This window comes from Homo sapiens, chromosome 2 (genome assembly GCF_000001405.40).
Source record: "Homo sapiens chromosome 2, GRCh38.p14 Primary Assembly".
Classification (NCBI taxonomy): domain Eukaryota; kingdom Metazoa; phylum Chordata; class Mammalia; order Primates; family Hominidae; genus Homo; species Homo sapiens.
The window spans coordinates 190,509,853-190,526,389 of record NC_000002.12 but is presented as its reverse complement, the minus strand read 5'-3'; the positions used below and the strand labels follow the sequence as shown (position 1 = coordinate 190,526,389).

Below are 16,537 nucleotides of genomic sequence, written 5' to 3'. Positions count from 1 at the left end.
TCAGCCCTTCTCTTCCCCGCTTAGTGCCTGGAAGCTAACCTCTGTGGACTGCATTATATGGGCTTCATTGCCCTCTGTCTTCCTGTTGGGTTTGGCTGATTCAGGGCACTGAGGGGACAGCAGGAGAGACAGGTTGAGGTACCCATACCTTCACCCTGCATTCCACGGGAGTCCTGGCAGTGACTGCATTCCTTTAGACTACTGTCTTCCCAGTTCCAATGACTCCAGTAACATGGGATCCTCCTTGCCATTTTGGGACTTGGGCTGCTAAAAGCTTCCTGCTCTTGTTGGTGCCTAGGAACTTCATAGTGCCTTATTGTTAGTGCCTTATTGTTAGTGCCTTAACCCTGTCCATATCTTTACTGAACTATTTTCAGTTAAATCCTTTTGAGTGTCAATAGTTTCTTGCTGAGACTGATACTTACCTAAAATCCTCCAATGCTCTGCTTTCAAGATGGAGTCCACATGGTATAGTAGTAGCTATGGTTTACCACTCCAGCTACAGGTGTTCAAATGTCTTCTTGTATCCCTATACCTTCCATCCATGCTCCCTTACCAATATAAGAATCCAATATCTCTAAACTGAATTAATTCCATAATTTATCTCATTTTCATGATTCTGTACATACTTGCTGGTTCTGCCCACCCCCACTCCCACCTCCTAGTTTCTGTCTTATTGCCTCTACCTTGCCCTTCAGCCCTTTACTCATATTTTTGTCTTTTCTGAGAAGGTGCCCATAATTCTGCCTTCTGCTTCAGAATTGAAGAAGTACTTGTTCTCTGTGCTCTTATAGTGCCCTCCAATGTCATAAATATTGACACTTGGGCTATCGTATTTTCTATCTGTCTCCTCCTTGGTTGGAAACACTGAAGGACTATAATTATCATATAGGAGAATTTATTGGCCATAGAACGTTAAAACTGCTACTGTTACCTCCCTGCAAACTTTTTTTAAAAAAGATTCTGGGCAATTAAACAGTTAGAAAATGCATTCCCTTTTCCATCTCTCAGTTCGTAGGTGTAAAGCTTTGAAGGAAAAAGATTTAATTAGAACGTCTGAGTCAGACTGTTACTGCTACAATCAAAATTCCCAAGTGGAGTGGAAATACATATGGTCAACTATGCAGGTAAGGGCCTACTTTTAACTCATGTCTTAGGGACAGAGAATTACCATGTCCTGGGGACAGGAAATGTACCACTTCAGGAATAGAAAGTATTTTTGGTATGACACAGATCTGTGTATCACTATGAAAGCTGACTTGAGGATCACACACAGTGGTTCAATGGGTGAGCAGTGTGAGAAGAGGACACTAACTCCTTCATATTCTCCCTCAGCCCCTCCCAAGCCACTCCCAATGAATATACTATCTAAATGTATACAGCATGCCTGCTGTTCAGGCAGTCTTAAGACAACATGTTCCTCCTACTTTCCACAATTGCTATCCAAAGCCCCTCCAAATAGAAATTCTGGAATAACCACTTATCCCAAATATGGCCAAGATAGCAGTTGCTCTTAATTGCCTAGTACTTTCCTTCATTCAGCATTTAACAAATACTTATTGAGTACCTACCTTATAAGTACCAGGAACTATTTCTAGGCTCCTAGGATACATCAGTGAACAAAATAGATCCCTGCCATTGTGGATATTTACATTATCTAGGGTGGGGAATAGTAAACAATAAATAAAATAGGGATGAAAATGGTAAAACTAGTAAGTACTATGAAAAAAGAAAATGTAGAGTAATATCAGTGGGATGAGAGAAGTGGGAGCAAATTGGCCAGGGTAGTTCTCGTTGAGAAGGTAACATTTGAGGAAGATTTCAGTGGAGTGAGTTAACCAACAAGGTACTGGGGGGAAGGGTGTTCTAGGCTGAGAGAATAGCTGGAACATTGTATCAGCAAGCATTTGATGTCAATTGATACCATTGCTGATAATATGCACCACTTTAATCACATGGTTAAGGTAGTGTTTGTCAGGTTCTTCCACTAAAATTACTGTTTTCTTCCCTTTAATGAGTATTTTGAGGTGATGATTTGAGACTGTGTAGATAACCTCTTCCTCATCAAACTTTCTTCCCTTAGTTTATCATTCATTGATGATGCTTTACTGAATCAATAATCATGATGATATTTATCAAATGTTGATTTTTTATATCTGTCCTGTTTTTTTTGAGACTGGGACTCACTCCAGTTGCCCAAGCTGAAGTGCATTGGTGCGATCTTGGTTCACTGCAGCCTCAACCTCCCGGGCTCAGGTGATTCTCCCACCTCAGCCTTTCAAGTAGCTGGAACTACTTGAAAGGTGTGCACTGTCACATCTGACTTTTTTTTTTTTTTTTAGTATTTTTAGTAGAGATGGGGTTTTGCCATGTTGCCCATGAGTCTACTGAACTCCGGGACTCAAGCAATCTGCCTGCCTCAGCCTCCCAGAATGCTGGGATTACAGGCGCAAGCCACTGCGCCTGGCACCATTATTCCATTTACATTCATTGGCATTCTACTATAAAGAAGAGATTTTCCTCCTCCCATGTATTTATTTATATCCATATAGTCTCACAAATTGCCAGTTATTTCAGGAAACTACAATCCATTACTCTCATTATTTATTTTGATACTCAAATTGTCCTAGATTTAGCCAGTCAGGGCCCCTTCAAACTAGCTCCTGTGTCCTTCTGCCATGTGCCTAGCATTTTTGAGCACTACTTTACTTTCTAACAAACAAGATGTTCTAGGCGTGTGTAATTTCATAGACTTAGCTCTGGAATCATAACATTTTTTTTCCAAGGAACAGTCAACATTAGGTGTGTTCATTGCTACTAGCATATCATCATGTGTGTACAAACACATACACACGCATAGGCCTGCACATACATCTATATCTACCTATTAGAAACCGTGAGTTCTGAGATCTCCAATACCACAGGGTTCATGCTAGTTTTCCAGTTTTCGTATTTGTAATTCCCTTCTCTGATAATGAGAAACTTAGTTCCCATTATCCTCAAATATATTTATTTATTTGCCTAATCCCAGAATACACTAAAAGTAGTTACAGAATTGGTAAGTCATACCATTACAAAAAACAAACCTAGTAACAGGAGTTCAATATTTATTTATAGTGTTTTTTTAAAATCTTTTTCGGAGGTTGTGTATTTTAGGTTAATTCATCCCAATCCACTCCCCCTTCAGTCTGGTTATATTATTCATTCAAAATATAGTTTGTTTTTATTTGTTTCAATTTCAAGGTTTTCCCCCATCATGGTCAATTTTATTATCATTTTTATTTTTATTTTTTTAGTTTGTTGACAAAAAGCCACTCTATAAAATATTTGAAGAGATTTATTCTGAGCCAAATATGAGTGACCAATGGCCTGTGACACATCCCTCAGATTCTGAGAACATGTGCCCAAGGTGGTCAGGGCACAGCTTGGTTTTACATATTTTAGGGAGACATGAGACATTAATCAAATACATTTAAGGTATACATTAGTTAGGTCCAGAAAGGTGGGACAACTTGAAGCAGAGAGGGGTGCAGTGTTCCAGGTTATAGGTAGATTTTTAAATTTTCTGATTGGCAATTGGTTGAAAGAGTTATTATCAATAGAAAGGAATGTCTGGGTTATCATAAGTAATTGCGGAGACCAAAGTTTTATCATGGAGATGAAGCCTCCAGGTAGCAGGCTTTAGAGAGAATAGATTATAAATGCTTCTTATCAGACTTAAGGTCTGTATTGATATTAAATGCTGGTTGGTTTTTCCTGAATTCCAAAAGGGAGGAGGGCATAATGGGGCATGTCCAACCCCTGCTTCCTGGCATAGCCTGAACCAATTTTTCAGGTTAACTTTGGAGTGCCCTGGCCGAGAACAGGGTTTCATTCAGATAGTTGGCGGGGTCGGGGGTGTTAGAATTTTATTTTTGGTTTACAAGTTTTGTTTACCTTTTTATTCTCAGAAAAGATCATAGTGGGTTTTTTAAGTGAGATTTTGTTTTTTTAAAAAAAACCTTCTTAATTTTTAATTTTTTAGATTTGGGGGTACATGTGCAGGTTTGTCACATGGATATATTGTGTAATGCTGGGGTTTGGGCTCTACTGAACCCATCCCCCAACTAGTGACCATAGTACCCAATCAGTAGATTTTCAACCCTTGCCCCTCTCCCAACCACCTTCTGAAGTCCCCAGTTGTCTGTTGTTTCCATCTTTATGTTTGTGTTATTATCATTATTTATAAGTATCTACAACATTAATATGGCTTAAAAGTTAAAACTCTATACAAAGGTATTTTCAGATAAGTGTCACTTTCCCTCCTCCCTCTATTAATTCCTATCCAACCCTTGTAGACAATCAGTTTAAGTAGTTTCTGGTATATCTTTCCTGTGTCTTTTTTTGCAAAGTAATTAGCGATGCATATTTATATAGATGGTGCCTAAAGCCATGAAACTGAGTGAGTTTAGATGGAGAAGAGAAGAGGACCAATGGCTAAGCCTGGGTCAGTCTTATATTAAGAGTTCAGGGAGAAGGAAGGAGCAAGCAGAGGAGAAATAAAAGGAGGGACAATGAAGATGTCCTGGAAGCCCTAGGGAGAAGTATAATAAGGAGAAGGGAATAATCAGCAATGCCAAGTGCTGTTGACAGGTCAAATAAGATGACTGAGAATTAATTGGGCATTTGAGTTAGCAACATGGAAGCACCAGTGACCTTGTCAGGGTGGCCTTTTAGGAATGAAATCCTGATTGAAGTGGATTAAAGGGAGAATGGAAGGAGAGGAACTAGAGACTGCAGGCACAGGCAGCTTTTTAAAGGAATTTTATTGCAACAAGAAGCAAAGAAATGGGTGGTAGTTGGAGGGAAAAGTGGAGTCCACAGAAGGTTGTTTCTTCTTTTTTAAATGTTGTATGCTGAGAGAAATAATCTCGTAGAGAGGGAAGAACTGCTGCTGGGATGTCCTTGAGTAGGCAAACGTGGATAGGATCCCGTGCCCAAGTCGGGACTTACCTTTATGGAGCCTGTAAATTTCCTCTGTGGAAGAAATTTCCTCCCCACAGGCAGGAAGCAGAGCATGTGCCTGCAGGTGCTGACAGGTAGGTGGCTTTGCAGATAGGAGCTGGTGGACATTCACTTCTGATTTCTTCCATTTTCAGTGAAGTAGGAAGGATCAACAGTGGAGAAGAGGATGGGGAGAAGGTGTTGAGTATTGAGGAAGAAGTTGTGAAATCCTTTGTTGCAGAGGGTGGAAGAATGAATGAATAGTAATATGTGGTATGAATGACTGCAACTTTCATGTCCCTCTCTTAAGTTCACAGTCATGGATTTGAAGTGAGACCAGTGTGCACTTCTCTAGCACACTGGTGATGCAAATGCAGGAGTAGAATGCTGGAGAGTTGGATTTTGCAAGTGAGCATGACAAAGCAAGAGGGGTACAAAGGAGTCAAGGGTATGTGCCAGGGAATGGTGTATAATAATTGATCATGGAGTTTAGGTGGCTAAAAAGAGATTGAGGATATTAGGAGGGTAAGGAGCAGGAGAAGGATGTTCAGATCCTTGGTGGGATTGGGGCACTAGATGGGTACACTGGAAAGATAGGAGATGGTGGTCACACAGTGAGATGAATGAAACACAATGTATGGAGGGGCTGCAGTCTGGTACTGACAAGGTCCAGGATATGGCCATGGAGTGATGAGCTGAGGTAGGGAGGACAAGAGCATAAGAGGAAAGGAGTCCCAGGAACTGAGAGGTCAGGATACTGGAAGGATTGGTGTGTATATTGTACATACTGAAATACCTAAGAAGAATGACAGGAAGTGGTATTGAAGAGAGAGCCACAGTGAGCCAGAAGCCAAAGTCAAAGAGAAATGCAGGGGTTGGTAGATAGATAGTGAGTGATATTACCTGATGCCTGAGATTCAAAGCTGGTGCTCTTACTCCCCTTTTCAGGGTTGCCCTACTCTTAGAAAAAGAAGAGGAATAGAGAAAAGGACAGACAAAGGCAGCAGCAAAATTGTCATTTAATGACCACTGGGTTGTCACCATCGGCTTGTAGCTAGTGCTTTGTTCTGTGATGTGAATAGGACCTGAGGTTGGGATCTGGTCCTTTAGCAGGCATGGTGAGAGAAGCCTGAATTACAGATGCTCAGCTGATCCAGAGAAAGGAAGTGCTTTTTCTTAATCATAGTAGAAAATGGTGTAAATATAAACCCTATTTTCAAACTATGCCTACTCATATAGTTTGCCACTGATTACAGGCATACTTCAGAGATAATGTGACTGTGGGTTTGGTTCCAGAACACTTCAATAAATACCCCATAAAGCAAGTCATACAAATTTTTTGGTTTCCTAGTACCTATAAAAGTTATGTTTCTACTATACTGTTAGTCTATTAAGGGTGCAATAGAATTATATCTTTAAAAAAACCCTACATACCTTAATTTAAGAAATACTTTATTGCTAAAACATGCTGACACAAAGACATGAAGTGAGCACATGCTGTTGAAAAAATGGTGCCAGTAGATTTGCCTGACACAGAGTTGCACAAACCTTCCGTTTGTAAGAAATGCACTATCTGCAAAGCACAGTGATGTAAAACAATAAAATGGGTATGCCTGTACATTCTTCTTATCCTTTTTAATGTCTCTTGGCCACAATAACTTGCTAGAAGAGGGACTTAAATCAGCCACAGCTTGGAGGGAGAAGCATTCACTTTCAATAATGTCTGTGGTTCAGCGTGTGTTTGGACTAAATACAGATCTCTTGAGTCCACCTCTGGGATCAGAACATAGAACTCTACCCTGCGCATTTGAGTATTCTTTTTTCAGCTGACTTTGAGTTATCTTTACTCCTCTGCTCATGTTTTTAAGAAGCTTTTAAGAAGTTTTGGCTGGATGCAGTGGCTCATGCCGGTAATCCCAGCACTTTGGGAGGCTGAAGCAGGCAAACAGCTTGAGCCCAGGAGTTCGAGACCAGCCTGGGAAACATGGCGAAACCTCATCTCTACAAAAAATACAAAAATTAGCTGGGCAGGTGGCATGTGCCTGTGGTCCCAGCTACTTGGGAGGCTGAAGTGGGAGGGTCACCTGAGCCCTGGAGGCACAGGTTGCAGTGAGCAGAGATCCTGCCACTGCACTCCATTCTGGGCAACAGAGGGAGACCCTGTCTCCAAAACAAAAAAGAGAAGTTATTCTGTTTATGGATTTGCTTGTTCTTGTTTTACAGGTGAAAATTACCAGTCCAGGCCTGTTCAGAATTGTATATATCGCAGAAAGACATAATTGCCAATATCCAGAAAACATTCTATCTTTTATCAAATGTGTGATTCATAACTTTTGGATACCAAAGGAATCTAACGAAATAACCATAATCATCAATCCATACAGGGAGACTGTGTGCTTCTCTGTGGAGCCTGTCAAGAAGATATTTAACTATATGATACATGTGAATCGAAACAGTAAGTCCGATTTTATTATACTTGACTTTCTGGATTCAGTTTTTCTGGAGTAACTTTTCAATAAATTGACTTTTTTCTTCTTTTACCAACATTACATTGATAAAAAATCTTTGTTATGTGTTTGTGTGTCTTTTTTACTCCAGTCATGGATTTCAAACTCTTCCTTGTGTTTGTGGCAGGAGTTTTTCTTTTCTTTTATGCAAGGACCCTGAGTCAGTAAGTATTCCTTTTTATATTTTTAACTTTGTGAATGAAAAGGGATTTAGATCATTTTTGACCACATGCTAAGTATTTTCACACTATTGTGCATTTGTAGTTCTTACTTTAGGTTTTGCAAACAATAGGTCTGAAGATGGTATTGGAAAGGCCTTTGAAAACAGTAACATTTATTTTTATCGTGTGATATGTATATGTTACAAAGTGCTTTCACATATTTTATGTATTAACATTTTATTAGATCTTGATAACTATGCAAGCTCTGTATTATTGTTCTCATTTTATAGATGAGAAAAGCAACATCCTTCATCACACTACTAGTTCTTATCAGGGCTGGAGATTTGTTCCCTGGTTTTCTGGTCCACACACCTTGCTCTATTACATTAGAGCCACCTACTAGATTTATGACCGTGATACAGAAGGCTGAATATAGCAAATTTCTGACTCTTAGAGAAACATTATCATTTTCTTTTTTATTACTGACAAGTTCTCATCTGAGAAACATATTATTCTGATGTTTTGCTTCTTGGAATTCTCTCATGAGAAAGAAATCTTTTTTTCAATATTTTACTTCTTAGCTTGTAGATTCTAGGTTAGTACCCAACACTCGTCAGCTATTCTTAACATTGTTCATTTTGAAGCTTTTCCTTATAGTATTACCAAGTGTGTTTAATGTCATCCATGAACTTTAGAAACCAGATGATGCATACATAGCATGAAGAATAAAGCCTGGACTCTGACGAGCTGGGCTGTAATCCCAAATCCTCCACTGAGCAGATACTGACTTAGGGAAGATTTTTTAACTTTTTGGTGCCTTAATTTTCTCCTTTCTAAAACCTAGAAAAGTGCCTGCTACATGATAGGTGTTCAGTAATTATTGTCTGATCAGATCCTGAATATGAAAAATACTTCAGACATTCTGTTTTGAGTTAGTGGCAAGCAACTTACCATAAATTTCAAGTACCCATTTTGTTTTTTAAGAGTATAGGATGTAATGAGAGCTGCCATCTGAGTTTTCTGTTCTTAGTGTTATTTATGACTGATGTTGCCAGGTTAAACATGTTTTTCATACTCAAAGTGCTTTTTGGCATTTAAATAGCTTTTATCTGCTTATCTTGACAGAAGCCCTACTTTCTATTACTCCTCGGGAACTGTGCTAGGTGTTCTAATGACATTAGTCTTTGTCTTGCTGTTGGTGAAAAGATTCATTCCGAAGGTAGGCATACTATGTGAAAATGAGTAAAAAATGGAAATCATGATCTTACAGACATGAAAAATTAATCAAAATTAATTCACATTATGATAGGTTCTAATTTAAATTATGTTTCTTCATTATGTAAACTGGCTCTAAAATGTATCTTTTTCTGGAGTTCCTGATTTTATTTATTACTATATGTAGGCTTAGCTGAGTATTAAGTTTTCATGATACTTTTTTTGAGACCCCTTTGCTTTCTCGGTAATGTGTTTTTCTTGAGTGATAGGAAGCTATTTCTATATTGAGTGAAAATTTCTATTATCTTTATAGAGCTGGGAATCTCATGATGCTGAACCATTGGGGCCTTGAATAACAGCACTGCTACATCTGGGAATTTCTTTATTATTATTAGTTCCCCAACCCACCTTCTTTTTTTTTTTTTTTTTTTTTGAGACACAGTCTTGCTCTGTTGCCCAGGCTGGAATTTAGTGACATGATCTTGGCTCACTGCAACCTCTGCCTCCTGGGTTCAAGTGATCCTCCCGCCTCAGCCTGCCCAGTAGCTGGGACTACAGGCACACACCACCATGCCCAGCTAATTTTTGTATTTTTTGTAGAGACAGGATTTCACCATGTTGCCCAGGCTGGTCTTGAACTCCTGAGCTCCAGCGATCTGCCTGCCTTGGCCTCCCAAAGAGCTGCAAATACAGGCGTGAGCCACCGTGCCCGGCTACACCTTCAATAAAATAACACACTGAACTTAGTTGAGGATAAATAATTCATGTTGGTAGTGTTGCAGTTACACTGATTAAAGTTTGCAACAGCAGCATTATTTTAAGATAAATTTACTCTTTATAACAGTGCTTATAACTCCAACTTCAGTGTACATGCAAGCTAGATGGGAATCTTGTTGAAATGCAGGTTCTGATTTAGCAGTCTGCAGTGGGGCCTAGGACTCTGCCATCCCAGCAAGCTCCATGTGATGTCGGTGTTGCTGATTTGTGGACCACACCTTAAGACCCTAGGGAGTTTCTTAAATTGACTTCAAATCAGTTTGATGTAGGAGTTTCTAATACAAAAGGTTTATTTGTTTGCTTTTATTTTTATGAGAGTGAATGAACCAAAAAATGTGTCATTTATTTTCTTCCACACACAGTATAGCACCTTTTGGGCTCTAATGGTTGGTTGTTGGTTTGCCTCAGTTTATATTGTATGCCAGTTGATGGAAGATCTGAAGTGGCTGTGGTATGAAAACAGGATATATGTATTAGGTAGGTAAATAGAAAAACAATATGCTCTGTGATTGGTAAAACTGAGATGTACAACTAGAGGCCTTCTTTTGATAGATGTTTCTCTCCAACATCTAAATTTTCATTTTGAACTAACGAAAGGTGCTACTAAAAATAATATTTTGTTTATCTTATTCCCATTGTTGTTGATTTCAGTTCATTTAGATCTCATTTTAGATGATTTCCCTATGACATGTTTCTTAGTTTTCTGTAGTAATGATCAAAAGAGGAAAAAAAAGTGTTTGTCCCTTTTGAATGCACATGCTTCTGAATTGTGGTTAAGCTCTAACCACATCTAACTGGTAATGTAAAAGCTTCTCTGAAAAGTGGCTGTTTCTTTCTTTCCCGTAAGTATTCATTAGGAAAGGTGAGAAATCCTAACTATAAATTACTAATGAAAACTTGCCTTTTCAGAAACACAGAGGCTAAGAAACCATTTATTTTCCTTGTTTTACATTACAAAATAAATGTTTTTATTGTTTATTTTAACTAGAAAATAATGGACAATGAGAGAATCAATTTTCTCCTAACCTTTAGCACCAAATTTCTCACATAAGTTCACTTCCCTCAAAACAAAAGCAATTAAGTTGTTTTACTTGAAAATTGTATATTTTTAGCTCGTTCTTCTTTTTGTGCTACTTTTAAATTACAGATACCATGGTATGCTCCCCTGAATACTGCACTATTCCTCTCTGAAAAACAAGAGGCTTTTCCTATATAATCAGTTAATTATTATCTGAAAAATAATTACATAAAATCATCTATTACCCAGGCCATGAAAAAATTTCCCATTCTTGATGGCTTATATAAACTAGGATATGGTCCAGAACCACATTTAGTATCTGTTTTGTCCTGTAAATTGCTTTTAATCCGTAGCAGTTCTTTTTTCATCATAGTGATATGCTAAAGAAACCAAGCTTGTCCTGTAGAATCTCCACCTTCTAGATTTATCTGATGACCCCTTTATGATAGAATTTAACATATTCTTCTCTTCTGCGTATTTTCTGTAAACTGGAAATTAGACTTCAAGGCTTGGTTAGATATAAATTAAACACTTAAGATAGAATACCTAAGAGGTGATGGGCACTTCACCTTGGATCATACCCAGAGACACAGAATAGCTTATAGTCTCACCATCGTAATGATGAGACTGAACATTGGATTCAGAGGGTGACTCCCTCCACTGTAAAATTACCTTTTCCTTTCATGACAAGAAGGTAAAAATAAAAAATAGGGTTTGTAGCCAATGGTGACATACAACTGTGACTTCTTCCTGACCAAAGTAACCATGATAACATTTTAGTCCAGCCAGGGTGCTGGACTAAAACACAGACATACTTATGTATCATCATAATAATGAGTGTACATCCCAAATTATTGCGAAAGTCAGCCTAGTATCTCATATGGAAGGAATAACACCCTATGTGCATTTTTCAACCTTACTTTATGGGGTAAAAAACACAAAAATTAAGGTTCTCTAATAGTTTTTACCTTTAAGTCAAGGCTCTGCCAGGTTTTTCACATAATGTCTCAAATTCAAATTTATATTATTTTACCTCTTCCACTTTTCCAGGCTATGTCTTGATAGTTGGATTTTTCAGCTTTGTTGTTTGTTACAAGCATGGGCCCCTTGCAGACGACAGGAGCAGAAGTCTTCTGATGTGGATGCTGCGACTCCTCTCCCTGGTTCTGGTCTATGCTGGTGTGGCCGTGCCTCAGTTTGCCTATGCAGCCATAATCCTCCTCATGTCCTCCTGGAGTCTGCACTACCCACTGAGAGCATGCAGTTATATGAGGTGGTATGTATCATTTTTTTCCCCCAGCAAATTTGACATTTTGAGCTCTAGTTTTATTATTTGGGAGAGTGTTTGCACACATCATGTTAATCTCATAATTACATTTGATCTGGAGATTTCATTCTGAGCAAGATTGGGGGTGTAGGGGTAGAGAGCTCCAAGCATCTGATCCCATCTTCATGGCTAGTCTTCATTAATCGTTGAGAGCTGTACCACCAATTACCAGGTAATTAGAGCTCACTCAGAATTCACTAGAGTCAATGGCAGAAGTACTTGGACTCTGGGTTACCTAAAATATCTTCTTTTATTCAACATTTTCTTTAATTAGAGTCAAAGACTGCTTTAGTGGTATCAGCTGTGCTTATGAGATACGAATTAGGAAACAGAAATGAATCATAAATGACTGAAAGGTATTATTTGTATTTAGGACTTTCTTTTCTCTTAGGTTTTTAGTTAAGGCTTATGGCCTTTGGAGTATAAAAAGAAAAATGAAGTAACCTCTATTGTGACAGCTTTGTTATGTTTCTCCTCAGTCATTGAGTCTGAGCAGCTGTTTTCATGTCAGGTGCACAGATGGAGATGGTTCTTGCCCTTGAGGTATACTTGCTAGACATAGGCATACATTTCTATCTCTTTTAAGTATTAAAATGGAGACTTGCCCAGGAACTAAGGGTATATAGAGAAAGCCAGGAGAGCTTTCCTGGAGAGATATTACTACGCTGAATCTTAAAGAATGAATAAAAATAACCAGACGAATAAATGCGGAGGGCTTTCCTGATGGAGAGAAAGCCCAGTTTGGTACCATCAGGAGATAGGCAGTGCTGTCAGTGCAGCAAGCAAGGTGGGCATGGGCCAGATGCATGGCAGCCATGCTAAGCAATCTAGTCCAGTCCTGTACACAGTGGGGTTTAACCATGAGACATTTTAGTTGGTCCACTCTGACTGCTGCCTCTACAGCAGTTATCAAACCAGTTGCTTAGGACCCAGGCAGATACTATGGTGAGTGATGCTGAGCAGGGGTAAGGCAGCAGTAACCAGGAGGACTGTGGGAAACTCTACAAAGCAACCTCATTGAAAACGGGGCTGTTACCACTCAGCTTGAGCTGATTGCTCATGTGTGGGAATATGAGTCCTGTATTGCCAGATCTGCTGGTTTTCTAGAAAAATTGGAAATGGGAATTACGATTAGAATGTGAAATCTCAGGATTTTTAAATGTTGGCATTTAAAAGTAAAAATAATTAAAAATAAAAATACATTGAACAAACAAAAATCACACCAGAGACCATAAATACTCATTGGCTGGTGGGATGTGGCCCATCTGTCTTCTGGCACAGCAGGTGGATATAAAGGGGAGGCCCCTGTGGCAGGAGAACAGTTATCAGACATCACAGTGGTCCAGGCGAGAGCTGATGAGGGCCTAGGGTAGGACCATGAGACCAAGGCTAGAAGAGGGAGTGAATAAATGTTCAAGAGGTAAAATTGGCTGTGAGGAAGGACACTATGGTGACTGGTAGTTTATGGAACTGGTGACTGTGTGTGTGTGTGGCAATATCACAGGGTTAAAATTGCACCATTGACAGGACAGGGAGCCCGCACAGAAGATGCTGGCGGGGCTGAAAGGCAGCAGGGCAGGGTTGGAGGGTTGATGCTGACTGGGTCTCTCTTTGCCCCATCTGCCCGAGGCAAACAGTGACTCGGAACACCAGAGGTCTTTTGTCAGTGAGGCTGGTCCCCCAACATCTTCCAGGTCCCTGGCCCTTTGCCAGGCTTGTGGCCTGAGGAACTCAGGATAGAGTTCCTTCTTCCTTCCCTTTAACCATCCAGCTCCCTGCCAAGAGCAGAGTGTGTTCTGCACAATGGTTCTTTTGTGCACTAGCTGTGTTCTATAATAATCAAAATGTACTATAACTTCCTCAACTTAAAATTTTGCTAGTGAATAATTATATAAAGAATTAGGGGATGAAACAGGAACTTATAGGTTAAATAACACACCAGAGAAATAATACCTTTATTTTGTATAGTACTTTCTAGTTGCAAAGAGCTGTTTACTTATATTTTAATAGTATATGGTAACTACTCTTTTGATTATCCTTATTGAACACCTACTATAGGCCACTTACAGTGCTAAGAACCCTACACAAAATATCTCATTTAACCTGTACAGTGACCTATGAAGTAGATGAGGGAGATATTATTGCTTTCATTTTAATTTTTTTCATATGAGCAAAGTGAGGCTCTGAACTGTTAAGGAATTCCCCAAGTTCATATAGTGAATAAATCTCAAAGCCAGGACTATGTCCAGGTCTTCTGGCTTAGCATCCAGGGTTTTTCCTTCAGGGAAACCATGCACAGGTATTCAGAAAAGCAGAAGGAGATTATATCACTGTTTCCTTGATCTAGCTCATCAACTATAAGATCTTTAAAAGATAATAGATTTATCAATCCTAACCCTCAAGAAAAAATATATATATACTTAAATATATATTATATAAATATATCCTAATAATTCTGATGCTCATTTATATTTCAAAATCTCTGGTTAAATTTAAAACCACCTCAAAATATTTTTAAAAACTCATTATAAATAAAACAAATGTTTTAGGCCGGGCGCAGTGGCTCATGCCTGTAATCCCAGCAGTTTGGGAGGCTGAGGTGGATGGATCATGAGGTCAAGAGTTTGAGACCAGCCTGACCAACATGGTGAAACCCCATCTCTACTAAAAAATACACAAATTAGCCGGGCGTGGTGGCGTGCGTCTGTAATCCCAGCTACTCAGGAGGGTGAGGCAGGAGAATTGCTTGAATCCCAGAGGTGGACATTGCAGTGAGCTGAGATTGTGCCACGGCACTCCAGCCTGGGCAACAGAGCGAGACTCTGGCTCAAAAAAAAAAAAAAAAAAATTAAATTTAATTTAAAAAATAAATAAAACAAATGTTTTAAAAACCTTATTATTGTTACTATTTTTATGAGAGTCTTAGATTCCTAAATTTTTAGATTCCTACATTTTATGAGATTTAGGATTTTCTTGGTTGGAAAAAGAAAGTTCTAATCATGATCCACTCGTCATGTAATACAGGAAAAATTACTATAAATTTTGTACAATATTTGCTCTTTCTCTCTAGGATTAGAATCACCACCACTAGGTGGAAGTGATATCCCACAAATCCTCCCAGGTTCTTGGTGTGGAGAGTAAATGGTCAGTGTTCTAGAGGGTCTGCATAAAAGGACATCTCAAAAGCTTGCTTCTATTAGTGCCCAAGAAAATCAACAGGCCAAGCATAAAAAAACAAAACAAAACAAGCTTTTAATTGCCTCTGTGATTAGAAATCACCGAGGAAGAAAAATACAATTAACATCTGTATCAGAAATTGATTCTCAAATACCTTAGGACATTATTTATGATAGTCCAGGAAATGGGGAAATACACTATTAGGCCCAAACTACATGTTCTCTATACCTCAGTCATGATAACAGCAATAAAAAAGTATAGATATGATATAGAGGAAGTTAAGAAGTATTATTACTGTTACCATCTAAGAAATGTATTTTTGTAAATCTTTTTTTTTTTTTTTTGAGACGGAGTCTCCCTCTGTCGCCCAGGCTGGAGTGCAGTGGCGCGATCTCGGCTTACTGCAACCTCTGCCTCCCAGGTTCACGCCATTCTCCTGCCTCAGCCTCCCAAGTAGCTGGGACTACAGGCGACCACCACCATGCTCAGCTAATTTTTTATATTTTTAGTAGAGACAGTGTTTCACCTTGTTAGCCAGGACCGTCTCAATCTCCTGACCTCGTGATCCGCCTCCCCAGGCCTCCCAAAATGCTGGATTACAGGCGTGAGCCACCGAGCCTGGCCTATTTTTGTAAATCTTAAGGATTGAATTAGGAAGTAATCCTGCAACCACATGCCATGTTTTAGGAAAATGGAGCAGTGGTTTACATCAAAAGAGCTGGTGGTGAAATATCTTACGGAAGACGAGTACAGGGAGCAAGCTGATGCTGAAACGAACAGTGCTCTGGAGGAGCTACGCCGGGCCTGCCGAAAACCCGACTTTCCCTCATGGCTGGTCGTCTCCAGACTCCACACTCCTAGCAAGTAAGTCCCGCTCTGCTGCTCGGACCATAGTTTAGTTCAGAATGATTTAAAAAATAATATGATGGTTTGGTACAGGCACTTCAGGGTAGAAATAGACTGTTTCCCTGGATAACAGATGATGTGGAAGTTGTCAGAGGTCCCTTTTCTCAGTACTGTGACTTTGCACAGTAGAACTGCTGATGTCAGAATAAATATTTATCTGATGTTTTATAGGGAAGGCTATAAAGATAACTTCCCTATGCGAAGGGAAGGTGGAATAGGATGTGTGACCTGCTTCTCACCCTATTGGTGGGGAAAATCTTTTTTGTTTTGTTTTGTTTTAGATGGAGTCTTGCTCTGTCACCCAGGCTGGAGTGCAATGGTGCAATCTCAGCTCATTGCAACCTCCGCCTGCCAGGTTCAAGCAATTCTCCTGCCTCAGCCACTTGAGTAGCTGGGATTACAAGGCGCGGGCGCCACCATGCCCGGCTAATTTTTGTATTTTCAGTAGAGATGGGGTTTCACCATG

At 39.4% G+C, this 16,537-nt stretch overlaps 1 protein-coding gene across 13 annotated transcripts in view; it reads left to right on the top strand.

Annotated features, from left to right (window-relative positions):
• NEMP2 (nuclear envelope integral membrane protein 2) overlaps window positions 1-16,537 on the top strand; it is a 227,365-nt gene that overhangs the window by 122,396 nt on the left and 88,432 nt on the right. For 11 of the 13 annotated variants that reach the window (XR_007068185.1, XM_047441941.1, XM_017003100.2 and 8 more), the window contains exons 2-8: window positions 1,012-1,127; window positions 7,207-7,438; window positions 7,582-7,654; window positions 8,777-8,870; window positions 10,006-10,120; window positions 11,712-11,937; window positions 15,853-16,029. Coding sequence is in view for 11 of the 13 variants with exons in the window: in XM_047441941.1 (XP_047297897.1) it covers window positions 1,012-1,127; window positions 7,207-7,438; window positions 7,582-7,654; window positions 8,777-8,870; window positions 10,006-10,120; window positions 11,712-11,937; window positions 15,853-16,029 (1,033 nt within the window). In the remaining 2 variants the exon portion in view is untranslated. The remainder of the gene's footprint in view (window positions 1-1,011; window positions 1,128-7,206; window positions 7,439-7,581; window positions 7,655-8,776; window positions 8,871-10,005; window positions 10,121-11,711; window positions 11,938-15,852; window positions 16,030-16,537) is intronic. The other 2 variants (NR_136298.2, XM_047441961.1) reach the window with 2 other exon arrangements.